This window comes from Homo sapiens, chromosome 11 (assembly GCF_000001405.40).
Source record: "Homo sapiens chromosome 11, GRCh38.p14 Primary Assembly".
Classification (NCBI taxonomy): Eukaryota; Metazoa; Chordata; class Mammalia; order Primates; family Hominidae; genus Homo; species Homo sapiens.
This window is the reverse complement of record NC_000011.10, coordinates 124,382,394-124,410,197: the sequence shown is the minus strand read 5'-3', so window position 1 is coordinate 124,410,197 and position 27,804 is coordinate 124,382,394. Positions and strand designations below refer to the sequence as shown.

General features: G+C 39.3%; 2 protein-coding genes, 1 long non-coding RNA gene and 1 pseudogene across 6 annotated transcripts, besides 1 other annotated feature; 3 read left to right on the top strand and 1 right to left on the bottom strand.

Moving 5' to 3' along the window:
• The first annotated feature begins 390 nt into the window (after positions 1 to 390).
• OR8B3 (olfactory receptor family 8 subfamily B member 3) lies at positions 391 to 14,664 on the top strand. Of its 2 annotated transcripts, XM_017017716.2 has the most exons (6): positions 391 to 548; positions 3,448 to 3,584; positions 4,196 to 4,327; positions 10,486 to 10,589; positions 11,379 to 11,508; positions 12,830 to 14,664. In XM_017017716.2, the coding sequence occupies exon 6, from the start codon at positions 12,847 to 12,849 to the stop codon at positions 13,786 to 13,788; it is 942 nt and encodes a 313-aa protein (XP_016873205.1). In that variant the 5' UTR covers positions 391 to 548; positions 3,448 to 3,584; positions 4,196 to 4,327; positions 10,486 to 10,589; positions 11,379 to 11,508; positions 12,830 to 12,846; the 3' UTR covers positions 13,789 to 14,664. The 2 variants fall into 2 exon arrangements, with proteins under 2 accessions (XP_016873205.1, NP_001005467.1); NM_001005467.2 differs by lacking the exons at positions 391 to 548; positions 3,448 to 3,584; positions 4,196 to 4,327; positions 10,486 to 10,589 and having other exon boundaries at positions 11,174 to 11,508.
• Positions 3,641 to 4,840: an enhancer, noted in NCBI's record as "CDK7 strongly-dependent group 2 enhancer chr11:124275254-124276453 (GRCh37/hg19 assembly coordinates)". NCBI's record gives its function as "activates an origin of replication core promoter dependent on BRD2, BRD4, P300/CBP, MED14 and CDK7 cofactors, with strong dependence on CDK7, by STARR-seq in HCT116 cells {active_cell/tissue: HCT116}" and the evidence as "EXISTENCE:reporter gene assay evidence [ECO:0000049][PMID:35650434]".
• Positions 4,511 to 5,582, bottom strand: LOC107984404 (uncharacterized). The gene is made up of 2 exons (XR_001748427.1): positions 5,235 to 5,582; positions 4,511 to 4,701 (listed from the first exon to the last, which is right to left on the bottom strand). It is a non-coding gene; the product is annotated as an uncharacterized LOC107984404 (long non-coding RNA).
• OR8X1P (olfactory receptor family 8 subfamily X member 1 pseudogene) lies at positions 5,097 to 5,965 on the top strand (annotated as a pseudogene).
• OR8B2 (olfactory receptor family 8 subfamily B member 2) lies at positions 12,878 to 27,804 on the top strand. 3 transcript variants are annotated; one of them, XM_017017535.3, is made up of 3 exons: positions 12,878 to 12,963; positions 25,695 to 25,824; positions 26,838 to 27,804. In XM_017017535.3, the coding sequence occupies exon 3, from the start codon at positions 26,855 to 26,857 to the stop codon at positions 27,794 to 27,796; it is 942 nt and encodes a 313-aa protein (XP_016873024.1). In that variant the 5' UTR covers positions 12,878 to 12,963; positions 25,695 to 25,824; positions 26,838 to 26,854; the 3' UTR covers positions 27,797 to 27,804. The 3 variants fall into 3 exon arrangements, with proteins under 3 accessions (XP_016873024.1, XP_016873025.1, NP_001005468.1); XM_017017536.2 differs by lacking the exon at positions 12,878 to 12,963 and adding an exon at positions 24,838 to 24,895; NM_001005468.2 differs by lacking the exon at positions 12,878 to 12,963 and having other exon boundaries at positions 25,699 to 25,824.

The window sequence follows — 27,804 nt, the reverse complement described above, 5'->3', positions numbered from 1 at the left end:
TGCACCGAGTAGAAGAGAGAATCTGGGGATCTGCCTACTTCTGTAACAGACTTTCAAGCCGCCTTCCTGTTTTTATGCTCACCATCACCCCTACTTTCAGAGGTGAGCTGTGCCACCACATTACTGAGCACGTGAGACACGCTATGGCGTAATCTGGATATTTGCTTCCACTACGGAGCTCTGAATTCAGCTTTCTGGGGACCACCGAGTCAGTTACTGATTATCACTGTGCCTTCCAGCTTTCTGATTTTTTTTTTTCCTGCTGTCTTTCCCCTGTGTTCTTGTCCCAGTAAGTTAATGAAACATGCTTGTTCTTCTGCCTTGTAATGCCTTCATTAACATTTTAGTGGGCTTTCAGAAAGTAGCAGTGGTTAAAATGGATGAGTTCAACTGTATTTCTCTAACCCAAAGTCCTCTGGCTAAGTCTCTAAGGTGATGTCTGTGAGCACACAAAGCCTGCACAATTCTATCTATTGGCAAAAACACTCCTCTCCTGAGCTGATATACCTTTGCTTAGATAAAGGATCCTTGAGATCTAAACTCCACAAGTAAGTTATCTGATTATTTTGGAAGGTTTACTTATTCATTTCATCAAATAAACATCTGTAGAGGATTTAAGTATGAAGATTCTCTGAACACAAAAAGAGATAAGATACAGATTTGCCCTTTGGCCTAATTGAAGAAGCAACAGAAGAAACTGAGAATTGCACAACTAATGGGTAACTGGTGTTAACAATGCTAAGCTCTTTTATTAACTTACCTTTTAAAATCTCTACACAAGTATCTCTGTTTTACACAGGTATCAACCAAGGCTTAGCTTAAATGCTTTTGCCCAAGTTGCAAAAACTAGTGGCAGAGCCAGGATTCAAACACAGATCTTTCTTAATGTAAAATTTATCTCTGTTACAGTGCTATACATAAAAATGAAAGTAAGCGCTGCCACAGAAATTTGTACAAGGTACAATAGTGCCATATATTAAGAGCCTTTTCATTCGAAGTGATTGCTTTTCAGTAATTACTTTCGGTAATTCAGATTTAACAAACCTGAGCCAAATCAGTTTAAACAAAAAAGTTCATTTAATGGGAAAGTCCAAGTAATGCAGGGCAGGCGAGCCCCTACATTGGGGCTTAACCTGGGAGAATTCTTGGCTTCTCTCAGAAAAGAATTCCGAGATGAGCCAGTGGTAATAGACAGCAGCTTTTATTGAAGTGGCAATGTATGGCAGCAGCAGAGGTACTGCTCCTCTCAGGGGCAGTGTGCACTGTGCAGCAGCTCAGAGGTTGTTCTGCAGTCCTATTTATACCTACTTCTAATTGCATGCAAATTAAGAGACAAGTTATTCAGAAATTTCTAGAAAAGGGGTGGTGACATTGAGTATTGCCATGGTAATGGTAAATTTTCATGGCACTGGTGAACATGTCTTATGGGGAGGCGCCTTCCATGCCTCTTTCCTGCTTCAGCCAGTCTTCAATTTATATGAAGGGCAGCTCCCTAAAATAGTAGATGGAGTCGAGTCCTGCCTCCTAGGGACACATTTTGCTTCAGATTTGTCTGGATCCAAGGGGTCACAGGGATTGTGCCTCTTTTTCAATTTTTCTGATGTGCTTGGTTCTATGTGGCTTTTTCTTAGACAGATTTCTTCACCTATAGACAAGAAGACCCCATTCTGCTCCTTATGAACATGTGTCTCCACCTTTATTACTCTCAGCCATGGAAAGAGCCACTTACAATAAAATTTTCAGAAAAATAGGACAGGAGAGAATGTTCTCAATTTAGCAAAAGAAACTTATTAAAAAACTACATCTTACATCATAGTTAATGGTTGAAGACTGAGTACTTTCCCCAAAAGACTGGAAACAAACTAAGATTATTCTCTCTCCTCTATGTTTGGTGAAGAGCCTAGCTTGTTGAAATATGACAGAAAAATGAAATAAAATGCCAATGGATTGAAAAGGAAGAGGACAAATAAGCATTGTTCACCTAAAATAATTGCTTATGTAGAAAATTATTTTAAAAATTACAAAACAAAAATACCAGAGCTAAAAAATGAATTCAGGTCTCAGGATACAACGTCATCAAACATAAATCAACTGTGTTTCTATATACTGGCCACAAAAATTTGGAAAGTTACATTAATACATACATCATTTATAGTAGCATCCCAAACTAACTTAGGAATAAATTTAATGAAAGATGTGCAAATGTCTAAACTGAAAACTTTAAAACCTTGCTCTGAGAAAGAAAAATAATATGAATAAATGCAAGATACATGATATTCATGGAATGGAAGATACAATGTTATTAACATGTCCGTCTATTAGATCTGTAGATTTAATGCAATTCCAGTACACATATTGTATCAATATGTTCAAAATTCTCAGAAAAATTAAGCTTTAAACTGGAGGTTTAAATTAACTTTTAAACTGGAAGTTAAACCCTACCATTGCCAATCAAAGAAGAAGGCAAAAAAGAGGCAATTTCAGACAGGCAATTTCTATAAAATTTGTATTTCATGTACATTTTCTCTAGAAATTAATAGAAAAATTTTCAATCAAAATGAGGAAGAAAACTATTACAGTTGAGAGGAATGTAAGGAGAATTGAAAATTAAATGTAATGGGGTAACCTGGATGACCTGGCACAGAAAAATGACATTAGGTGAACACTGAAGCTATATAAATACAGACTTTAGTTAATGAAAATGTAACAACATTGGTTTATTAATTGTAATAAGTGTACCATACTAAGGTAAGATTTAATATTAGGGGACATGAGAGTGGGGTATATGAGAACTCTCTGTACTACGTTCTCAATTTTTCTATAAATCTAAAACTATTCTAAAAAATGAAGTTCACTTTAAAAATGGAGAGAGAAATGAAGAAACAGGAAAACAGAATCTAGAAAACAGGTTACCTAACACAGGTATGAGGTGAAGAGAATTCCCAGAAAGATGGTGACAAGAGATCTCAAAATGTTAGATTTTCAACAAAGCTAGAGGACATCCCATTAAACTTCTGATCTGGTAGTAGATCACAAGTTTCTTAGGATGACATTTTTGAGAAGATGAAATTTTTGAAATATCAGCTAACATCATATGGCTACAACTGTATATAGTGAGAAAAGATATATACAAATGGAGAAGAGGTCATGAGGATAATTCAAGGAAATCATAGACTATCAAAGCAAATGAGAGCCCCCAAAAACATTTGCTTCATGGAAAATGAAAAAGAAATAAAATAAAAATGATTCTGGTATCTGATCTATTATCTGTAAATAGTGTTTAAAATTGTGTTAATAATGCAACTACTGAATATTTATCTAACCAAATTTATAATTATTATAAGCCATATTACAAGGATAAGATTGTGCGTGTGTGTGTGTGTGTGTGTGTGTGTGTGTGTGTGGTGAGAAGGAGGTTACAAAGAACAAATTCTTTTATTCCATAAGAACCCACATTAGAAAATCAAGTGTAATCCAATCAGGAGGTGAAGAGAGGCTTACGAAAGCAATGTATTAGAGAGGAAAGACCAGAGCAAGATTTTGAAGAGATAGCTTCTCTGGGACATGAAGCCTGGATGAAGAAGGTGAGTGAGGAGCAGATGCTTAAATTTAGTAACCTGGGTGGTCATGAAAATAATTTAGACAATAATGAACGGAGAAGGAGTGGTTCTGGAAATCATAAGAAAATGCTGACTGCAGTTTGGGACACTTTGAACTTGGGGCACATAAATACACATAAAATAAAAGTGTTCAGGGAGCACGCAGGGAAAAGGTTCACGTTTTATATATATAGGCGAATATGAATGAGGAGAAGGAGAACAAACACTTACCAGACTCTTTCCATATTCCAGGCAGTGTTCTAATACTTTCCATGTACTAAATCATTTAACCCCCACGGCAATCAATTACTATTCTCATTTTACAGAGGAGGAAACAAGGGTCAAAGAAGTTACATAACATCTAAAATCTCACAGGAAGTGCAGAAATAGTCTAGATTTAAATTGAGGCAGTCTGACTTAGCTACAAAGTAGCTACAAAGACTTAGCTACTTTGCTACAAATATCTTTATAGAAGAGAAATCCACAATCACATATGGTGTCAAAGCTATAATCTACGATTTTACTAACACAATCCCAAAGGCATGTAGGAAAGTAGAAATGGCAAGTGACTGTATCCCTGGACTTTCCTTTTGTAGCACTGTGCATAGACTCCAGGGGAAAATGAAGGAAGTGACAAAGGGAGCATTCACTCTTCTGCATTGGAGATTGGATTTCCCGACATGAAATTATAAACTAAGTAAGAATGCTGAGTACAGAAGGATCCAAAGGTAGGTCTATGACACAGGATGTACACACAGGCTCAGTAATGTAAACCTTTAAGAGGCTCATCCAACTTTAGAGGAAATTGCAATGGAAAGAATCATTCTCTGGGCTTTGAATCACTTTCTCCAGAGCTGTAGGGCGTGAAACAAATTCCCATTCAAGCCATTTAGGCTTCTAAAGTTGTTTTACTGCTTGCTTGTGAAGAGGGCCTTCTGGGCAAGTTTTCAAATAGAAGTCATGGAAAATTCTCCAAAGAACTCTTACAGCTTGTCAGAGACTGAAGACTGTGCTGATGGCTCTTGCCTGCTGCATCATCAGATTTGCCCCCTTCAAGACAGTGGGAAAGAAGGGCCCTCGAGGTTGAGCACTGGTAGGGTCTCTAGGAAAAACAACGACGAATGTCTAAATCATCTTTGTCTTGCCGATTTCCTTCCAAACCCATAAATCAAAGATTCTAGGGGAATACTCTGGAGACAGCCCTGGTTGGAGGGAGGAAGTGCTGAAACGGCATAAGGTCTACAAGCAGTTTTCTCTGGTTAGAGACCTACAAAAACTGACTTGGGGGAGGGAGAGAAGAGGGAAGGACAATCTGGAATTTCAGGTCTTGGGGACCTCCTTAGGGACTCTTCCTCCTTGGATCACTTGCTGTAAGTCTTTAGACAACCCTGAGCTGACAATCCAGCAGATCCAGCTCTCCCTCTAGGGACAAAGAGGGAGGATCTGTCATTAATGCTACTGTCTGCCCCTGTTCTTATAGATCATACCATGAAATGAATGGCAGTGGAAAATAACTCTTCGGTGACTGAATTTATCCTTGTGAGATTAACAAACTCCCGCTGCCCCAGTGTTTTATTCTTAATGTGGTCCCTGTGGGGAGAATTTGAACATAATTTTATGTCCCTAAATTCTCACCTTCATACCCCCACACACTTTTTCCTCTTCACGCTATCCTTCATTGATGTCTGCTATTCATTTGTCTGTACCACAAAAATTCCAATGGGCTTTATCTCAGAGAGGAACATCATCTCCTTTGTGGGATGGCCAACGTAGCTATATTTCTTTTGCATCTTTGTCAAAGAACCTAAAAATGGGGTCATTGTGGGAATAATGTTCTCAGCCAAGATGCTTGTAGCCGAGAGATAATGGACTAGTCGTTGATGTGAAACTAGAAAATGCACATGGCCCTAGAAAGGTCTGATTTTAGAATGGGATAAACAGGATCTGCTACAAAGAAACATTTAATCATATTCTTGTATTACAGCGATTATTTCCAGAGATAGTGAGGCTGCAGAGCTTTGGGACAAGGTTCCTTAGCGAAGCAAGACACACTCTCTAGAATTGCACATGTACTTTAAAAAGTCTGTTACATATTATAATATGTTTTTATATTTGGAAACAGAAAAAAATAAGTTATTTATATCACAAATCATAGAAAATGGATCTTTACAAAATCTTCATGTTTTGTGGGTTACTCACAAGAAAAATTTTCTCCGTCCATTTCTACTTCTCAAATGGTTCAAGGAAAAATGCTCCTTAAAGGATATATCTGATTCTGGAGAATGAGCTTACCTATGTGTGCAATTTTTATCTTTGTCAGAAGATACTACTACCTTCTGAAAAAGTTGAAAACACTGCTTTATAAGAACAGCTATAGAACGTATTTATACCAGTTAAGATCTTTACTTACATCTGACTAAAAAAATTGCTATAAGAATGAAGCACCCTCTCCCTCTCCCTCTCCCTCTCCCCACGGTCTCCCTCTCCCTCTCTTTCCACGGTCTCCCTCTGATGCCGAGCCGAAGCTGGACTGTGCTGCCGCCATCTCTGCTCACTGCAACCTCCCTGCCTGATTCTCCTGCCTCAGCCTGCCGAGTGCCTGGGATTGCAGGCGCGCGCCGCCACGCCTGACTGGTTTTTGTATTTTTTTGGTGGAGACGGGGTTTCGCTGTGTTGGCCGGGCTGGTCTCCAGCTCCTAACCACGAGTGATCTGCCAGCCTCGGCCTCCCGAGGTGCCGGGATTGCAGACGGAGTCTCGCTCACTCAGTGCTCAATGTTGCCCAGGCTGGAGTGCAGTGGCGTGATCTCGGCTCGCTACAACCTCCACCTCCCAGCCGCCTGCCTTGGCCTCCCAAAGTGCCGAGATTGCAGCCTTTGCCCGGCCGCCACCCCGTCTGGGAAGTGAAGAGCGTCTCTGCCTGGCCGCCCATCGTCTGGGATGTGAGGAGCCCCTCTGCCCAGCTGCCCAGTCTGGGAAGTGAGGAGCGCCTCTTCCCGGCCGCCATCACGTCTGGGAAGTGAGGATCGTCTCTGCCCGGCCGCCCATCGTCTGAGATGTGGGGAGCGCCTCTGCCCCGCCGCCCCGTCTGGGATGTGAGGAGCGCCTCTGCCCGGCCGCGACCCCATCTGGGAGGTGAGGAGCGTCTCTGCCCGGCCGCCCCGTCTGAGAAGTGAGGAGCCCCTCCGCCCGGCAGCCGCCCCGTCCGAGAAGTGAGGAGCCCCTCCGCCCGGCAGCCGCCCCGTCTGGGAGGTGTACCCAACAGCTCATTGAGAATGGGCCATGATGACGATGGCGGTTTTGTCCAATAGAAAAGGGGGAAATGTGGGGAAAAGATAGAGAAATCAGATTGTTGCTGTGTCTGTGCAGAAAGAAGTAGACATGGGAGACTCCATTTTGTTCTGTACTAAGCAAAATTCTTCTGCCTTGGGATGCTGTTGATCTATGACCTTACCCCAAACCCTGTGCTCTCTGAAACATGTGCTGTGTCCACTCAGGGTTAAATGGATTAAGGGCGGTGCAAGATGTGCTTTGTTAAACAGACGCTTGAAGGCAGCATGCTCATTAAGAGTCATCACCACTCCCTAATCTCAAGTACCCAGGGACACAAACACTGCGGAAGGCCGCAGGGTCCTCTGCCTAGGAAAACCAGGGACCTTTGTTCACTTGTTTATCTGCTGACCTTCCCTCCACTATTGTCCTATGACCCTGCCAAATCCCCATCTGCGAGAAACACCCAAGAATGATCAATAAAAAAAAAAAAAGAAGCATCATTTATATACATTTATTAGGTAAACTTACCTTATTGTAATGGATTTGTTTAAAGCTCTTACTCTACCATGCAGAAATCTGAAGGCCTCATGTCTGCCTCTATCATTTTCTCGCCTACATCCATTAAGATGCCTGATTAAATAGCTTAAAATGGTTTGATCTAAGTTTTGCTCAAGAGCACATCTTTAAAAAACTTCACATTTTACGAAAGACAAACAAAGATTTGCAGCATCCATGACTACAAACAAAAGTAAAATATGAGTCGCAGGTTTGGCATGCACCGTGCAGTCTGAATATGATATCCGTGTCACCAGCACCCCCTGGTGGAGGATAAGTCAGCAAAATGCCTGGCTCTGCTGTGAATCAACAGACTTATTTTACAGGCCCACTCTTTTCATCATCCTGGCAAAAATTTTCAATTTTTAAAATTAAAGCTATAATTTACATAAAACTGAATTGATTAAACATTCAAACGTAGGTTTAAAAACTAACATAATTCGAGATTTGAAGAACTGTTTCAGAATGTGAAGCATTTTTAAAACCAACTTGTGGATATTTGGAAGTATTGTATCTGCAAATTGGTGACTTTCTTGAAGATATGGGTACTGTTGTACATCTTTGTTATCCTTCTGTTATACCAGCTGTATAAATACAATTTTAATTGGAAGAAAGTTTTATTCATGTAGAAGCCCTATAAGAATACATGCAAAAGGCACAGAGGCTACAGAGCCTAAAAAGATGCTGTCAGGAGGGCAAGAGTGGAGAGTATCTGATGGTATGCTTTGCCTAGATGCAAGAACAGTTGGCCAAGTCAGGTACTCACTGTTCTATTTCACAGCCTGACCAAAGAGGCACTTCACCACCTGGACACCAGCTACAGCTGTCACATGGAGAGAAGGACAGAGACCATTGTGGACAAGAGGCCTATGGAGCTGCTGGTGGAGCTTATGTTTTGGGTGCCCAAGAAGCACAGTGCTCAGCCTTAGGTGCTGCCTTCTGTGGTGGTGGGAGACCAGGCCAGAAATCCTAGGGCCACTGCTCCAAGCAGAAGCCCTAGATCAGATACTTCTGTCCAAGTATCCCAGATCAGATACTTCTCTCCATATATTCTCTTACAGCAGCTGATGGAGCCTTTTGGTGGCATCTAAGCTGGTTGCAGTGTGGTTACTCTAACAATGCATACACTTTCTGCAAATTAGAGCTTCTTTGTTATTTTGTAATATTTGAAATAAAAAGTGAAATTGATTCCAAACTGATTCAACATTAAATACGCCAATGAAAGGAAAAAAACTCTTATATTTTTAAAATCTGATTTCAATAGCAAAGTTTTAAATGGTGGTACAAATTATTGAAAACTCTTACCACTTTTCATATATAATTTCTCATTGATGATGATTGCTGTGTTTTGATTGTTTGTCCCCTCCCAAATGCATCTTGAAATTTAATTGCCATTGTAGCAGTATTAAGAGACGAGACCTGTAAGAGGTGATTGTGATTAGGCCATGAGGGTTCTCCCCTCGTGAATTAATGCCTTTATAGCAAGAGTGGGTTTCTTACAAAAGGATGAGTTCAGCTCCAGTCTCTCTCTCTCTCTCTCTCTCTCTCTGTCTCTTTGCATTTCCCCTATGTGATAATACAGCAAGAAGGCTCTTGCAAGATGCTGACACCTCAATCTTGGATTTCCCAACCTCTAGAATCATTAGCCAAGAAAATTCTGTATAAATTACCCAGTCTTAGGTATTCTCTTATAGCAGGTCAATGTGAACTAAAACAGTGACTGTAAAAGAAACTAGAGATACACTCATTAAAAATTCTGGAAAAAGCATTGCAAATAGCTATTTCTAGCACAAAGCCTGATGTAAAGAATTTATGTTCCAAAAGAAAGTACAAATTTTCATTAATAACTATGAATATATATATTTTTGGAATATTATCTTATAAAATTATAGAAATTTTAAAATTACGCTGGGTGTGATGGCTCACATCTGTAATCCCAGGTGTGAGAGATTACACCTTGGGAGATTACACCTTGGGAGGCCAAGGTGGGAGGATTGTTTGAGCCCAGGAGTTCGAGACCAGCCTGTAAAACAGTGAGACCCTGTCTCTACAAAAATAAAAAAAGATTAGCTGGGTGTGATAGCAGGCGCCTGTACTCTCAGCTACTCAGGAGGCAGAGGTGAGAGGATTGCTCGAGTCCAGGAGGCCAAGGCTTCCGTGAGCCAAGATCGTGCCACTGTACTCCAGCCAGGGTGACAGAGTGAGACCTGGTCTCAAATATTTTTAAATAAATAAGTATAATAAAAAGAAAAAAAACAAAATGGTTGTTACCAGAGGCTGGGGGTGAGGGGAATGAGATGTTGGTCAAAGGGTGCAAAGTTTTAATTAGAAAGGAGGTATATGTTTTTGGAATCTATTGCACTGACTGGAGAGTATAGTTAATAATAATGCAATATATATTTCAAAATTGCTAAGAGAGTAGATTTTAAGTGTTTACACTACAGAAAATCAGTATGTGAGTTGATAGGTGTGTTAATGATCTTAATTTAATAATTTCATGATGTATACATTTATCAAAACACCACATTGTATCCCATAAATACATATAATAATTACTAATAAAAAATAAGAAAACAAAAGTTTATACATCTCTTTTAAGATGGATATTTTTGGCTGGGTATGGTGACTCACTCCTGTAGTCCCACCACTTTGGGAGGCCAAGGCAGGTGGATTACTTGATCCCAGGAGTTCAAGACCAGCCTGGGCAATATGATGAAATCCTGTCTCTATAAAAAATACAAAAATTATCCAATGGTGGTGGCATGTGCCTGTAGTCCCAGCTACTTGGGAGGCTGAGGTGGGAAGATCTATTGAACCTGGGAGGTTGAGGCTGCAGTAAGCTGTGATTGCAGCAAAGCAGGACACAGTCTCAAAAAAAAAAAAAAAGAGAATTCTGTATCCTGACTTAGGTGGTGGTTACATAAATATGTACATGGGATAGAATTGCATAGATTTGCACACACATACATACGAGCATGTTAAACTAGTGAATAAGGTCTGTAGTTTCGTTAACATTATTGAACCTATGTCAATTTCCTGGTTTTGCTATTGTCCTATAGTCGTGGAAGACATCGCCATGTGAGGAAACTGGGTGAAGAGTTCAAGGGAATCTACGTATGACTTTTGCCACTTCTTGTGATTCTAGTAATTTTAAAATAAAAAGGTAAAAAAATAGATGCCTTCTCACAAGCACAAATTCCTACCTACAGAGAAATTCTAAAGTCACACTGTCTTGAAATAACGGCCCATGAATAGTGATTTTTCTTACGGATTTGATTTTAACATGAAAGACAAAGACATGTTGAGTTAGAGCAACCCAAGGTAAATACATTTTTATGAAATAAAGGATAATTCTATGTTACACAAAATTTTTATTAAAAAATCTGAAATCAATTAAAAGTATCCCTTTTCTTTATGCCTATGAAGTATGCAAAAGTAAAAATGGATTATTTGAAAGATTATTTAAAAGGACTCACAATATTAAAAATGAGCATATAAACTTCACTAAATTATACTTACATTCCTGTTAAAGCTAATATACTACCTAGGATTATAATTAGCAAAAATTCTGACAATCATTACATTTACATCTTTATACATGAGAGCAGATGCTCTTTCTCCTATGCCCTGTGGATTGTATAATCCCTGATGAGAAATTTACCTCTACTACAACAAATTAGGCTGTAAACAAGGGCATACAATTTCTTCCCTGCAGAGTTTGTCATGGTAGGGGAGGTCCTGAGAGAGACTTACTGGGGGATATGTAATCAGGTCCAAAAGAATTGTAAGCCTTGAGCAAATGCCATGTGCTCTATGACATGGTAGCTCTGGTTTGAAGTGCAGTTTTCCAACAAACCCTCTTGGCAAATTTATAAATAATAGTTTGATCTACACCACAAAATGATTCCCAGAACATTCAGATTCTGAGATCTCTGCTCAATGCTTTTGCCAGTCAAGGGAGAAGAAGATTCTGTGACTACATCTGATCAACATAGATACCTTCACAGCCATTTCTTCCTCCAGGGCAGTGGAGGTGAAACACATATCAATGGTCAGCACTGAGTTCTCTGAGTGGAAGGAAGGTGAGTTAATCAAGTTTCTATTTCTCTCTCCTGGATGTTGCTGAAAAATGGGGAAAAGTATTCTATTCAATAGCAAGAAACTTAGTGGTATGGAGCTCTGACTCTTGGGCTTGCATTTTTCTCACACTGTTCTCTCTGTTGGCTTCATTCTTAGCCTGGTATCAAGATAGCAATAGCAGTTCCAAGTGACACATCCAGAACAGAGGAATGCCAGGAAAGGATATTTGTCTCTTTATTAAAAAATATATTGACATGTGCTATACATATAGAAGAGTTTAAGGGTCATAAAAATACCAGTTTGGTAAAATTTTACAAACTTAACAACTAATATAACTGTACCCAAATTAATTATGTTTCTCTTATGCCTTCCTACAAAGACCTGTGAAAGCACATTCAGCTTCCTTTCTTCATCCTGTCTAGCTAGGATGGAATAGAGGAGAATGTGTAGAAACACTTATGTGATTTGTATGTGGTGAATCATAAGGCTTTGACTACTAAGGGTCTTCTGTTATCACCTGGTGACTTCATGGATTCTTATAGTAAGGTATCTAGAAACCCTATAGGAGACCCCTGTCTAGGAAACAGAATATCGGTATGGTCTCTGCCCTAAAGGAATCCTCCCTTACCTGGTGGTCATCACAAGGAAACTGAAGTGTCTAGTAGAATAATGGAAACATAAGTAGAAACTAGGAAGTGGCCAGGCTCGGTGGTTCACACCTGTAATTCCAGCACTTTGGGAGGCTGAGGCAGGTGGATCATCTGAGGTCAGGAGTTTGAGACCAGCCAGACCAATATCATGAAACACTGTCTCTACTAAAAATACAAAAATTAGCTGGGATCGTGGCATGTGCCTGTAATCCTAGCTACCTGGGAGGCTGGACAGGAGAATCTCTTGAACCCGGGAGGCAGAGGTTGCAGTGAGCCGAGATCCCACCATTGCACTCCAGCCAGGGCAACAAGCGTGAAACTCCATCTTAAAAAAAAAAAAAAGAAACTAGGAAGTGAAGGGCCAGATGGAAGCGAGGGAGATGAGACACATCCACATAACCCAAGCTCAACAGCAGGTAGGCCTGTGCCTCAGCTACTCCACCTCTCTGTCTTCTAGTAAGGACAGGAGCAATTGTTTGTCACATTCAGTCTGTACAGACAAAAGACACTGACTGAAATGTTGAGGAGTGGGAGTGGCAGTACATTCAGAACATTCAGATCCCATGAAACAAAGAAGTCACCCAAATTCCTACAGCCTGAGTCCCCTCCTCATTAATGAGATTTTGTAAAAAGAAATCTGTGTTCCTAATAGAATTTTCTTTTGTCTTCCCAGATTTTTGAAGACAAAAAATGCTGGCTAGAAACAACTCCTTAGTGACTGAATTTATTCTTGCTGGATTAACAGATCATCCAGAGTTCCAGCAACCCCTCTTTTTCCTGTTTCTAGTGGTCTACATTGTCACCATGGTAGGCAACCTTGGCTTGATCATTCTTTTCGGTCTAAATTCTCACCTCCACACACCAATGTACTATTTCCTCTTCAATCTCTCCTTCATTGATCTCTGTTACTCCTCTGTTTTCACTCCCAAAATGCTAATGAACTTTGTATCAAAAAAGAATATTATCTCCTATGTTGGGTGCATGACTCAGCTGTTTTTCTTTCTCTTTTTTGTCATCTCTGAATGTTACATGTTGACCTCAATGGCATATGATCGCTATGTGGCCATCTGTAATCCATTGCTGTATAAGGTCACCATGTCCCATCAGGTCTGTTCTATGCTCACTTTTGCTGCTTACATAATGGGATTGGCTGGAGCCACGGCCCACACCGGGTGCATGCTTAGACTCACCTTCTGCAGTGCTAATATCATCAACCATTACTTGTGTGACATACTCCCCCTCCTCCAGCTTTCCTGCACCAGCACCTATGTCAACGAGGTGGTTGTTCTCATTGTTGTGGGTATTAATATCATGGTACCCAGTTGTACCATCCTCATTTCTTATGTTTTCATTGTCACTAGCATTCTTCATATCAAATCCACTCAAGGAAGATCAAAAGCCTTCAGTACTTGTAGCTCTCATGTCATTGCTCTGTCTCTGTTTTTTGGGTCAGCGGCATTCATGTATATTAAATATTCTTCTGGATCTATGGAGCAGGGAAAAGTTTCTTCTGTTTTCTACACTAATGTGGTGCCCATGCTCAATCCTCTCATCTACAGTTTGAGGAACAAGGATGTCAAAGTTGCACTGAGGAAAGCTCTGATTAAAATTCAGAGAAGAAATATATTCTAATTAGAAGCAGTAATAATGTAAAACGATTGAAGAACTTTAAATTTTTATTAGTGTGTTCCATGAAGAGATTTTGTTGTTTCTACAGATGGTGTTATGTGTGATTTAATAAACTTGTCTTATCATTTCTCTTATGAAATCATCTTGTCTCTTTTTTTGGTTTTGCATCTCTGGCACTTCTCACAATTTTACTAAATAGGTCATGGCATCTTTGTAAAAGGAACATATGCACTGATATTTTTCATTATCATTTTATATCCTTCCTCTCTCCTGGGCTGTTCTTAATTGGACATATATGGTAAATTTCATGAATTATAAAGATGTCAAAGTCACGGCTTTCTCACCTAAACTCAGAAGTGCCAAATATGATAGAAGCATTCTTATTTTTATCAACATTGTTACAGATATAGGCAGCTGGATTTGATGAAATGTCTCCATTACAAATGGTAGGTAGCTTAAAGCAGAATGAGCACCCCTTGATCTTGTCCTTTTGTTCTATATTGTCACCATTTTGCCTTTTATTATTCTGACTTTTCTTGTTCCCTTTGAGAATGGCAAAATTTGTACCACATGCCGTTTGCTTCTGAGAACCTCTATCAGTCCAGTGCATTTGATACAGCAGAGAATATGTGTGTCTCCACCTTTTATTGCCAAAGGCAGCATTTACAGAGGATGATTAGAGAAATAATACATGTGGACCTCAGGATTCCAATAAGTGGGTCCATTGTTTACATTATAAAACTTTCATTCATTGCTATCTAAAACAGCATTGAAAATTTTGAAAAAAGCGTGTAGTTCCTACTGTAAATGTTATTTTTTTACTCGTTATAGGTAAATACTGCACATTAAGTTAGCAGAAATATTTTACACAATGGTTACTTATCCAATGTGGTTTGTCATGAAAAAATGTATATTAATTTTAATAAACTATATTTCTACAAATATTTTGTGAGCCTACTTAAACTTTATCATCTCACCAACAAGACGTGAAACACATTTTATATAAAGGTTATTTCTCATAATTCCTTTATTTTGTCGAATTCTTTTCCTGTTCATGTATTTAAAATGTCAGATATATTGTAAAATCAAGAAATAGTTGTTGAATTGAAGTTTTTTTGTTTTGTTTTGTTTTGTTTTTGTCTTTTTTTTGAGACAGGATCTCACTCTGTCACCTAGGCAGGAATGCAGTGGTTCAATCATAGCTCATTGCAGCTTCCACCTCCTGGGCTCAAGTGGTTCTTCTACATCAGCCTATAGTTTAAGCTTTTTTTTTTTGTATGGTTTTGGTTCATTTTTAGATTAACTTTTGTGTATAGCATGAGGTAGAGGACTTCTTCAGCATCCTGTGTAGCTGGGAGTACAGGCACACACCATCATGCCTCCCTACTTTTTAAATATTTGGAGAAAAAAATTTAACTCCTGGCCTCAAACAATCTTCCTGCTTCATCCTCCCAAAGTGCTGGGATTACAGGTGTGAGCCACTGTGCCTGGCTGAACTGGAGTATCTTGCTTAACACCAACAATAAATGTATTACTTTAAGTAATAATTAATAACATATAAAAATAACGACAATTATATATCTGAACAAATTTGGGGTTTAATTTATATTTTTGGAGGTGGACTGTGGTAGCCCCAGAGAAGAACAGCTCAGCTCCCCATGAAGAGACCCATCGGTGGGGTGCATGGCTGACTGAAAGTCTATAGTTGCACTTCCTTGGATCCACCATGGTGTTTAGGCAGAGTACATTCTTACTCTGAGATGTCCTGAGCCAATGACTCAGCAGGGTGGGTGGGACTTAAAGAGAGCTGGCCAATTTCCATCTAACATGTATCTTTTCTGATAGGAAATCTTTGCTTAGAGACTTCCTATCCTCCTGACCAAGACTTTTTAGAACTGCTCTATGGTCTGAGATTTTCCTACCCGAACTTTCCATTTCTTTCTCTTTTCATCCCGGCTGAGGCCTTCATCCTGGTCTGAGGCCTTCATCACTGACTCTTGCTCCTTTCAGTTTTATCCTTAATAGGCATTTATAACAAAAAATGTGTTGCAAGTCTATTTCTTGACATCTCCTTCTAAGGGGACCCTAAATGACAAAGCAGACTTATATTAGCTGATTTTATTTATTTATTTATTTATTTATTTATTTATTTTTATTATTATTATACTTTAAGTTTCAGGGTACATGTGCACAATGTGTAGGTTAGTTACATATGTATACATGTGACATGCTGGTGTGCTGCACCCATTAACTCCTCATTTAGCATTAAGTATATCTCGTGCTAACCCTCCCCCCTCCCCCCACCCCACAACAGTCCCCAGAGTGTGATGTTCTCCTTCTTGTGTCCATGTGTTCTCATTGTTCAATTGCCATCTATCAGTGAGAATACGCGGTGTTTGGTTTTTTGTTCTTGCGATAGTTTACTGAGAATGATGATTTCCAATTTCATCCATGTCCCTACAAAGGACATGAACTCATCATTTTTTATGGCTGCATAGTATTCCATGGTGTACATGTGCCACATTTTTTTAATCCAGTCTATCATTGTTGGACATTTGGGTTGGTTCCAAGTCTTTGCTATTGTGAATAGTGCCACAATAAACATACGTGTGCATGTGTCTTTATAGCAGCATGATTTATAGTCCTTTGGGTATATACCCAGTATTGGGATGGCTGGGTCAAATGGTATTTCTAGTTCTAGATCCCTGAAGAATGGCCACACTGACTTCCACAAGGGTTGAACTAGTTTACAGTCCCACCAACAGTGTAACTATTTCTCCACATCCTCTCCAGCACCTGTTGTTTCCTGACTTTTTAATGATTGCCGTTTTAACTGGTGTGAGATGGTATCTCATTGTGGTTTTGATTTGCATTTCTCTGATGGCCAGTGATGATGAACGTTTTTTCATGTGTTTTTTGGCTGCATAAATGTCTTCTTTTGAGAAGTGTCTGTTCATATCCTTTGCCCACTTTTTGATGGGGTTGTTTGTTTTTTTCTTGTAAATTTGTTTGAGTTCATTGTAGATTCTGGATATTAGCCCTTTGTCACATGAGGGTTGTGAAAATTTTCTCCCATTTTGTAGGTTGCCTGTTCATTCTGATGGTAGTTTCTTTTGTTGTGCAGAAGCTCTTTCATTTAATTAGATCCCATTTGTCAATTTTGGCTTTTCTTGCCATTGCTTTTGGTGTTTTAGACATGAAGTCCTTGCCCATGCCTATGTCCTGAATGGTAATGCCTAGGTTTTCTTCTAGGGTTTTTGGGGTTTTAGGTCTAATGTTTAAGTCTTTAATCCATCTTGAATTAATTTTTGTATAAGGTATAAGGAAGGGATCCAGTTTCAGCTTTCTACATATGGCTAGCCAGTTTTCCCAGCACCATTTATTAAATAGGGAATCCTTTCCCCATTGCTTGTTTTTCTCAGGTTTGTCAAAGATCAGATAGTTGTAGATATGTGGCGTTATTTCTGAGGGCTCTGTTCTGTTCCATTGATCTATATCTCTGTTTTGGTACCCGTACCATGCTGTTTTGGTGACTGTAGCCTTGTAGTATAGTTTGAAGTCAGGTAGCGTGATGCCTCCAGCTTTGTTCTTCTGGCTTAGGATTGACTTGGTGATGCGGGCTCTTTTTTGGTTCCATGTGAACTTTAAAGTAGTTTTTTCCAATTCTGTGAAGAAAGTCATTGGTAGCTTGATGGGGATGGCATTGAATCTATAAATCACCTTGGGCAGTATGGCCATTTTCACGATATTGATTCTTCCTACCCATGAGCATGGAATGTTCTTCCATTTGTTTGTATCCTCTTTTATTTCATTGAGCAGTGGTTTGTAGTTCTCCTTGAAGAGGTCCTTCACATCCCTTGCAAGGTGGATTCCTAGGTATTTTATTCTCTTTGAAGCAATTGTGAATGGGAGTTCACTCATGATTTGGCTCTCTGTTTGTCTGTTATTGGTGTATAAGAATGTTTGTGATTTTTGTACATTGATTTTGTATCCTGAGACTTTGCTGAAGTTGTTTATCAGCTTAAGGAGATTTTGGGCTGAGACAATGGGGTTTTCTAGATATACAATCATGTCATCTGCAAACAGGGACAATTTGACTTCCTCTTTTCCTAATTGCATACCCTTTATTTCCTTCTCCTGCCTGATTGCCCTGGCCAGAACTTCCAACACTATGTTGAATAGGAGTGGTGAGAGAGGGCATCCCTGTCTTGTGCCAGTTTTCAAAGGGAATGCTTCCAGTTTTTGCCCATTCAGTATGATATTGGCTGTGGGTTTGTCATAGATAGCTCTTATTATTTTGAGATACGTCCCATCAATACCTAATTTATTGAGACTTTTTAGCATGAAGGGTTGTTGAATTTTGTCAAAGGCCTTTTCTGCATCTATTGAGATAATCATGTGGTTTTTGTCTTTGGTTCTGTTTATATGCTGGATTACATTTATTGATTTGCATATATTGAACCAGCCTTGCATCCCAGGGATGAAGCCCACTTGATCATGGTGGATAAGCTTTTTGATGTGCTGCTGGATTTGGTTTGCCAGTATTTTATTGAGGATTTTTCCATCAATGTTCATCAAGGATATTGGTCTAAAATTCTCTTTTTTGGTTGTGTCTCTGCCAGGCTTTGGTATCAGGATGATGCTAGCCTCATAAAATGAGTTAGGGAGGATTCCCTCTTTTTCTATTGATTGGAATAATTTCAGAAGGAATGGTACCAGTTCCTCCTTGTACCTCTGGTAGAATTCGGCTGTGAATCCATCTGGTCCTGGACTCTTTTTGGTTGGTAAGCTACTGATTACCTCAATTTCAGATCCTGTTATTGGTCTATTCAGAGATTCAACTTCTTCCTGGTTTAGTCTTGGGAGAGTGTATGCGTCGAGGAATTTATCCATTTCTTCTAGATTTTCTAGTTTATTTGCGTAGAGGTGTTTGTAGTATTCTCTGATGGTAGTTTGTATTTCTGTGGGATTGGTGGTGATATCCCCTTTATCATTTTTTATTGCATCTATTTGATTCTTCTCTCTTTTTTTCTTTATTAGTCTTGCTAGTGGTCTATCAATTTTATTGATCCTTTCAAAAAACCAGCTCCTGGATTCATTAATTTTTAGAAGGGTTTTTTTTTTGTCTGTATTTCCTTCAGTTCTGCTCTGATTTATTTCTTGCCTTCTGCTAGCTTTTGAATGTGTTTGCTCTTGCTTTTCTAGTTCTTTTAATTGTGATGTTAGGGTGTCAATTTTGGATCTTATTAGCTGATTTTAAAAATTAGCATAAGGCTGTGATAATCAAGACAGATTAGTTTAGTTATAAAGACAGGTGAACAAGTCTATGAGATAGAATAGCAGATTCAGAAACAGAGCCTCACTCACGCGGTCAATTGATTGTTGACCAAGGAACAGAGTAATTCCATTGAGAAAGAAAAGGCTTTGAAGCAATTGTTGCTGGATGTACTGCCTATCCATAAGGAAAACACCAAACCTTGACCTCTACCTCACACTATACACAAAACTTAATCTAAAGATGGACCAAAACCATTCACAAAAAAGCTTAAACTATGGATCTTCTAGAAGAAAACATATGAAATTGTGTTGGTGCAGGCATAGATTTCTTAGCATTATTCTATAAAGCACTAAGCCCCAAAGGAAAAAAAAAAACAAATAAACTTAATTAAAATGAGATTATCTATTTATCAGAAAAGTTCTCATAGGCAAACACAGGCTAGAAAAATATTTGTAACTATATATTCAATAAAGTATTGTGTCCACATATATATCTCAACTCATTACTTAAAATATATATCAAAAAATACCATTTAATAAACAGACAAATGATTCAAATGACATATCCGAAAGCAAGCTTTCGGGTCTCAAGCCAAGGATGGCTTTGAATATGGCCCAACACAAATTCGTAAACTTTCTTAAAACATTTTGCTATTTTTTGGTGACTTTTTAAAGGCTGATCCGCTATCATTGGTGCTAGTGTATTTTATGTGTGGCCTAAGATAATTCTTCTTCTTCCAATGTGGCCTAGGGAAGCCAAAAGATTGGACACCCCTGTCCTAAAGGAAGACATGCAAATCAATAAACACCTGCCAATGTGCTTAATTTGTTGTAATCTCTTAGAAGTATAGTGAATAGCTGGATAGCACTCCCTTACCAGCTGTTCCATCCCCCCTCATTGCATTGCCTGGAATTTGTGCCTATCCTCTTTCACTACATTACCTAGACTTTGTCCCAGTCAAGCATTTATCAGGCCTTCTGGTTGGTCTCCTTCCTTGTTAGTCCCAGCAGTCTCTGAGTGGAGCCTCTACTTGAGAGGGCCAAGCACAAGCTGTGGGGTATTTCCATACCTCAATTAATTCAAGCGCCAATCCTACAGGGCTTCTCTGACATTTGAGAATCTGGTTATGCATCCCCTTTCTATTTTTCCACGAGTTCTGGGAGTGGTAGCTATTTTCCACACTTTATTAGTCTTCATATTTTCTCTGTGCCAATGTTTTGCTCTTTCCCCCTTCCAATATCTGTATAACTAATTCTCTGTTTAAATATCCTCTTTAGGAAATGCATAGCATACTACTGGCTTTTTTGGCAGGATCTTTTCTGATACATGGAACACACTGTATGTGATTTTTATGGACTCTCTTGTCCATGTCATAGACTATAAACTTGTCCAGTTAGCACATGTCAAACCCTCGTGTCAGAGCTGTCCAACTTCCTGATTAGTCTGGAATATTAACGTAACTATAGTTTTTCTCTGCCAAAATGATTTTTAACAATCAATTTTTATCCCTGAAGTTATAATTAAACCTAGGAGTTCTGGGGGGCTCCTTTTCAAAAACTACATGTGAGAGCCCATCTAAGATTAAAACCCTGGTAGAATTAAGCAGGAGAAAAGTGAAAAGAGACACACTCACTCATGATATGACTTGATTCTACTTTGTCCAGCATACAAGAAGTCATCCACATCCTTGACTTACCAGTTTTACACACATTTTTGGTGTAAGCTGTCTTATTCCTATCACTTAAATGGAAAGAACCCCAATGTACTTTGTAAAGATTGCATAGTAGCACATTCTACATTGTATAACACAATTCTGCATAGTGTAGTCATTAAATAAAGCAATTTTCCATTCATAGATACCAAGTATAAAACTTGCTCCACCAGTATGCATTTTGACTTTGAAACAATTGATTATCCCTCTTAGTTTTGGATTTCTTATATGTGAGATAGGGGTGTCTGGTTCAGAGGGTGATCATAAGGGTGATATGAGAGAAGGTAGATAAAGAATTTAGGCTGGGCGTAGTGGCTTATACCTATAATCCCAGCACCTTGGGAGGCCGAGGCAGGCGGATCATGAGGTCAAGAGATTGAGACCATCCTGTCCAACACGGTGAAACCCCGTCTCTACTAAAAATACTAAAATTAGCCAGGCGTGGCGGCACGCACCTGTAATCCCAGCTACTTGGGAGGCTGAGGGAGAAGAATCACTTGAACCCAGGAGGTGGAGTTGCAGTGAGCCGAGATCACTCCACTGCACTCCAGCCTGGAGACAGAGCGAGACTCCATCTCAAAAAAAAAAAAAAAAAAGAATTTCACACTCTGATTGGCAAACAATAACTAAAGGAGGTACAAGTTTCAATTTTAATTTCCTGGGTTATATTTCTGATTAGACTGAGGAATCCTATGGGCAGGGCCTACTTTCTGTGTTCACAGTAATTATAACCTAAATGCAAAAAAGAAGGTCATTTGATGAAATAAATCAGTAGAATCTCTAAAATAAAGATAATTTATGGGATTTTAGGCCTCATGCATCATCAACTCTGAGCAGAATACATCTGGTCAAGTCCTGGGAGCTTGAAATGCCAATCTCCGGGCTCCTGTAAGCTTGGTGTGCTCCTAGGCATTGTTCTAGAAATGCAACTGGAGGACTCTGGTTAAAGATGGCAGTCTTAATGTCAATGCATTGTCTGTATTCTTTGCCCAAAGTCACTAATGTGATAGAAAAGGGATTTAAAACAAACCCACGGCCAATATCATACTGAATGGACAAAAACTGGAAGCATTCCCTTTGAAAACTGGCACAAGACAGGGATGCCATCTCTCACCACTCCTATTCAACACAGTGTTGGAAGTTCTGGCCAGGGCAATCAGGCAGGAGAAGGAAATAAAGGGTATTCAATTAGGAAAAGAGGAAGTCAAATTGTCCCTGTTTGCAGATGACATGATTGTATATCTAGAAAACCCCATTGTCTCAGCCCAAAATCTCCTTAAGCTGATAAACAACTTCAGCAAAGTCTCAGGATACAAAATCAATGTACAAAAATCACAAGCATTCTTATACACCAATAACAGACAAACAGAGAGCCAAATCATGAGTGAACTCCCATTCACAATTGCTTCAAAGAGAATAAAATACCTAGGAATCCACCTTACAAGGGATGTGAAGGACCTCTTCAAGGAGAACTACAAACCACTGCTCAATGAAATAAAAGAGGATACAAACAAATGGAAGAACATTCCATGCTCATGGGTAGGAAGAATCAATATCGTGAAAATGGCCATACTGCCCAAGGTGATTTATAGATTCAATGCCATCCCCATCAAGCTACCAACGACTTTCTTCACAGAATTGGAAAAAACTACTTTAAAGTTCACATGGAACCAAAAAAGAGCCCGCATCACCAAGTCAACCCTAAGCCAAAAGAACAAAGCTGGAGGCATCACGCTACCTGACTTCAAACTATACTACAAGGCTACAGTCACCAAAACAGCATGGTACGGGTACCAAAACAGAGATATAGATCAATGGAACAGAACAGAGCCCTCAGAAATAACGCCACATATCTACAACTATCTGATCTTTGACAAACCTGAGAAAAACAAGCAATGGGGAAAGGATTCCCTATTTAATAAATGGTGCTGGGAAAACTGGCTAGCCATATGTAGAAAGCTGAAACTGGATCCCTTCCTTACACCTTATACAAAAATTAATTCAAGATGGATTAAAGACTTAAATGTGAGACCTAAAACCATAAAAACCCTAGAAGAAAACCTAGGCATTACCATTCAGGACATAGGCATGGGCAAGGACTTCATGTCTAAAACACCAAAAGCAATGGCAAGAAAAGCCAAAATTGACAAATGAGATCTAATTAAACTAAAGAGCTTCTGCACAAGAAAAGAAACTACCATCAGAGTGAACAGGCAACCTACAACATGGGAGAAAATTTTCGCAACCTACTCATGTGACAAAGGGCTAATATCCAGAATCTACAATGAACTCAAACAAATTTACAAGAAAAAAACAAACAACCCCATCAAAAAGTGGGCAAAGGATATGAACAGACACTTCTCAAAAGAAGACATTTATGCAGCCAAAAAACACATGAAAAAATACTCACCATCACTGGCCATCAGAGAAATGCAAATCAAAACCACAATGAGATACCATCTCACACCAGTTAAAACGGCAATCATTAAAAAGTCAGGAAACAACAGGTGCTGGAGAGGATGTGGAGAAATAGGAACACTTTCACACTGTTGGTGGGACTGTAAACTAGTTCAACCCTTGTGGAAGTCAGTGTGGCCATTCCTCAGGGATCTAGAACTAGAAATACCATCTGACCTAGCCATCCCATTACTGGGTATATACCCAAAGGACTATAAATCATGCTGCTATAAAGACACATGCACACGTATGTTTACTGCGGCACTATTCACAATAGCAAAGACTTGGAACCAACCCAAATGTCCAACAATGATAGACTGGATTAAGAAAATGTGGCACGTGTACACCATGGAATACTACGCAGCCATAAAAAATGATGAGTTCATGTCCTTTGTAGGGACATGGATGAAATTGGAAATCATCATTCTCAGTAAACTATCGCAAGAACAAAAAACCAAACACCACGTATTCTCACTCATAGGTGGGAATTGAACAATGAGAACACATGGACACAGGAAGGGGAACATCACGCTCTGGGGACTGTTGTGGGGTGGGGGGAGGGGGGAGGGATAGCTTTAGGAGATATACCTAATGCTAAATGAGGAGTTAATGGGTGCAGCACACCAACATGGCACATGTATACATATGTAACTAACCTGCACATTGTGCACACGTACCCTGAAACTTAAAGTATAATAATAATAAAATAAAAAAATGAAGCAAATCAGAAGGGAAAAAAATAAATAAATATATAAAAATAAAAATGGTGTTCGCTCCCAGGGACAAAAAAAAAAGGTAGAATTAGAACAACTCCCAGATTTTGGAAATTAGACAGTAGATAAACAAGCAGTATCTGCACTGGCATTCTTACAACATCTGACCCTATGATAGAACTGGGAAAACCAAGAACACACCTGATTTACACACAGTCTCCAACATTCTCACAATTTCACGACAGCAGATATTTCTGGAAGAAGTGAGGATGGGGCAGAACAAATGGAATGCTTAAAAGTCTGTTTAAGAATTAATTAGAGGCCAGGCATGGTGGTTCATGCCTGTAATCCCAACACTTTTGGGAGGCTGAGGCAGGAGGGTTTCTTGAGACCAGGAGTTCAAGACCAGCCTGGGTAACATAGTGAGACCCCCTATCCCTACAAAAAATTAAAAAATTAGCCAGGTGTGGTGGCATGTGCCTGTAGTGCCAGCTACTTGGGAGGCTGAGGTGGGACGATCTATTGAGTCCTGGAGGTTGAGGCTGCAGTGAGCTGTGATTGCACCACTGCACTCATGCCTGGGTGACAGAGTAGGACCCTGTCTTTAAAAAAAAAAAAAAGAGAGAGAGAGAAAAAGAAAAAAAAGAAAGAATTCTGTATCCTGACTTAGGTTTTTGTTACATAAATAGGTACATAGGATTCAACTGCATAGATCTACACACACACACAGACACACACACACACACACACACACACACACACGCATGTTAAATTGCTGAATAAGGTCTGTAGTTTCTTTAACATTATTGAACCTATGTCAGTTTCCTGATTTTGCTATTGTCCTACAGTTGTGGAAGATGTCTCTGTGTGAGGAAGCTGGGTGAAGTGTCCAAGGGAATCTACATATACTTTTGCCACTTCTTGTGATTCTAATAATTTTAAAATAAAAAGGTAAAAAATATAGATGCCTTCTCACAAGCACAAATTCCTACCTACCGGGAAATTCTGAAGTCATACTGTCTTAAAATGAGGGCACATGATTAGTGATTTTTCTTACAGATTTGATTTTAACCTGTTAAAGGCAAAGACATGTTGAGTTAGAGCAACCCAAGATAATTAAATTTTGATGAAATAAAGGATCATTCTATGTTACACAAAATTTTATTTAAAAAATCTGAAATCAATTAAAAGTATCCTTTTCTTTATTCTTTTTCTTTTCTTTTTGCCTATAAAGTATGCAAAACTAAAAATGGATTATTTAAAAGGACTCACAATATTAAAAATGAGCATAGCAATAAACTTTACTAAATTATACATACATACTTGTTAAAGCTAACACTGCCGATAATTATAATTAGCAAAAATTCTGACAATCTTTATGTTTACATCTTTATACATGACAGCAGAGGCTCTTTCTCCTATGCCCTGTGGATTGTATAATCCCTGATGAAAAGTTTACATCTACAACAACAAGTTAGGCTGTAAACACAGGCATATAATTTCTTCCCTGCAGAGTGTGTCATGGTAGGGGAGGTCCTGAGAGAGACTTACTGTTGGTATGTAATCAGGTCTAAGAATTATGAGCCTTGAGCAAATGCCATGTCTCTATGACGGTGGACATGGTGGGTCTGGTGTGAAGTCTGATTTTCTAACAAACCCTCTTGGCAAATTTATAAATAGTTTGATCTACACCTCAGAATGATTCCCAGAACATTCAGATTCTGAGATCTATGCTCAATGCTTTTGCCAGGTAAGGGAGAAGAAGATTCTTTGACTACATGTGGTCAACGTAGATACCTTCACCACCAGTTCTACCTCCAGGGCAGTGGAGGTGAAACACATATCAATGGTCAGCACTGAGTTCTCTGAGTGGAAGGAAGGTGAGTTAATCAAGTTTCTATTTCTCTCTCCTGGATGTTGCTGAAAAATGGGGAAAAGTATTTATTCAATAGCAAGAAACTTAGTGGTATGGAGCTCTGACTCTCGGGCTTGCATTTTTCTCACACTGTTCTCTCTGTTGGCTTCATTCTCAGCCTGGTATCAGGATAGCAATAGCAGTTCCAAGTGACACATCCAGAACAGAGGAATGCCAGGAAAGGAGATTTGTCTCTTTATTAAAAATATATTGACATGTGCTATACATATAGAAGAGTTTAAGGGTCATAAAAATACCAGTTTGGTAAAATTTTACAAACTTAACAACTAATATAACTGTACCCAAATTAATTATGTTTCCCTTATGCCTTCCTACAAAGACCTGTGAAAGCACATTCAGCTTCCTTTCTTCATCCTCTGTCTAGCTAGGATGGAATAGAGGAGAATGTGTAGAAACACTTATGTGATTTGTATGTGGTGAATCATAAGGCCTCGACTACTAAGGGTCTTCTTTTATCACCCGGTGACTTCATGGATTCTTATAGTAAGGTATCTAGAAACCCTATAGGAGACCCCTGTCTAGGAAACAGAATATCAGTATGGTCTCCGCCCTAAAGGAATCCTCCCTTACCTGGTGGTCATCACAGGGAAATTGAAGTGTCTAGTAGAATAATGGAAACATAAGTAGAAACTAGGAAGTGAAGGGACAGATGGAAGTGAGGGAGATGAGACACATCCATATAACCCAAGCTCAACAGCAGGTAGGCCTGTGCCTCAGCTACTCCACCTCTGTGTCTTCTAGTAAGGACAGGAGCAATTGTTTGTCACATTCAGTCTGTACAGACAAAAGACACTGACTGAAATGTTGAGGAGTGGGAGTGGCAGTACATTCAGTACATTCAGATCCCATGAAACAAAGAACTCACCCAAATTCCTACAGCCTGAGTCCCCTCCTCATTAATGAGATTTTGTAAAAAGAAATCTGTGTTCCTAATAGAATTTTCTTTTGTCTTCCCAGATTTTTGAAGACAAAAAATGCTGGCTAGAAACAACTCCTTAGTGACTGAATTTATTCTTGCTGGATTAACAGATCATCCAGAGTTCCGGCAACCCCTCTTTTTCCTGTTTCTAGTGATCTACATTGTCACCATGGTAGGCAACCTTGGCTTGATCACTCTTTTCGGTCTAAATTCTCACCTCCACACACCAATGTACTATTTCCTCTTCAATCTCTCCTTCATTGATCTCTGTTACTCCTCTGTTTTCACTCCCAAAATGCTAATGAACTTTGTGTCAAAAAAGAATATTATCTCCAATGTTGGGTGCATGACTCGGCTGTTTTTCTTTCTCTTTTTCGTCATCTCTGAATGTTACATGTTGACTTCAATGGCATATGATCGCTATGTGGCCATCTGTAATCCATTGCTGTATAAGGTCACCATGTCCCATCAGGTCTGTTCTATGCTCACTTTTGCTGCTTACATAATGGGATTGGCTGGAGCCACGGCCCACACCGGGTGCATGCTTAGACTCACCTTCTGCAGTGCTAATATCATCAACCATTACTTGTGTGACATACTCCCCCTCCTCCAGCTTTCCTGCACCAGCACCTATGTCAACGAGGTGGTTGTTCTCATTGTTGTGGGTACTAATATCACGGTACCCAGTTGTACCATCCTCATTTCTTATGTTTTCATTGTCACTAGCATTCTTCATATCAAATCCACTCAAGGAAGATCAAAAGCCTTCAGTACTTGTAGCTCTCATGTCATTGCTCTGTCTCTGTTTTTTGGGTCAGCGGCATTCATGTATATTAAATATTCTTCTGGATCTATGGAGCAGGGAAAAGTTTCTTCTGTTTTCTACACTAATGTGGTGCCCATGCTCAATCCCCTCATCTACAGTTTGAGGAACAAGGATGTCAAAGTTGCACTGAGGAAAGCTCTGATTAAAATTCAGAGGAGAAATATATTCTAATTAGAAGC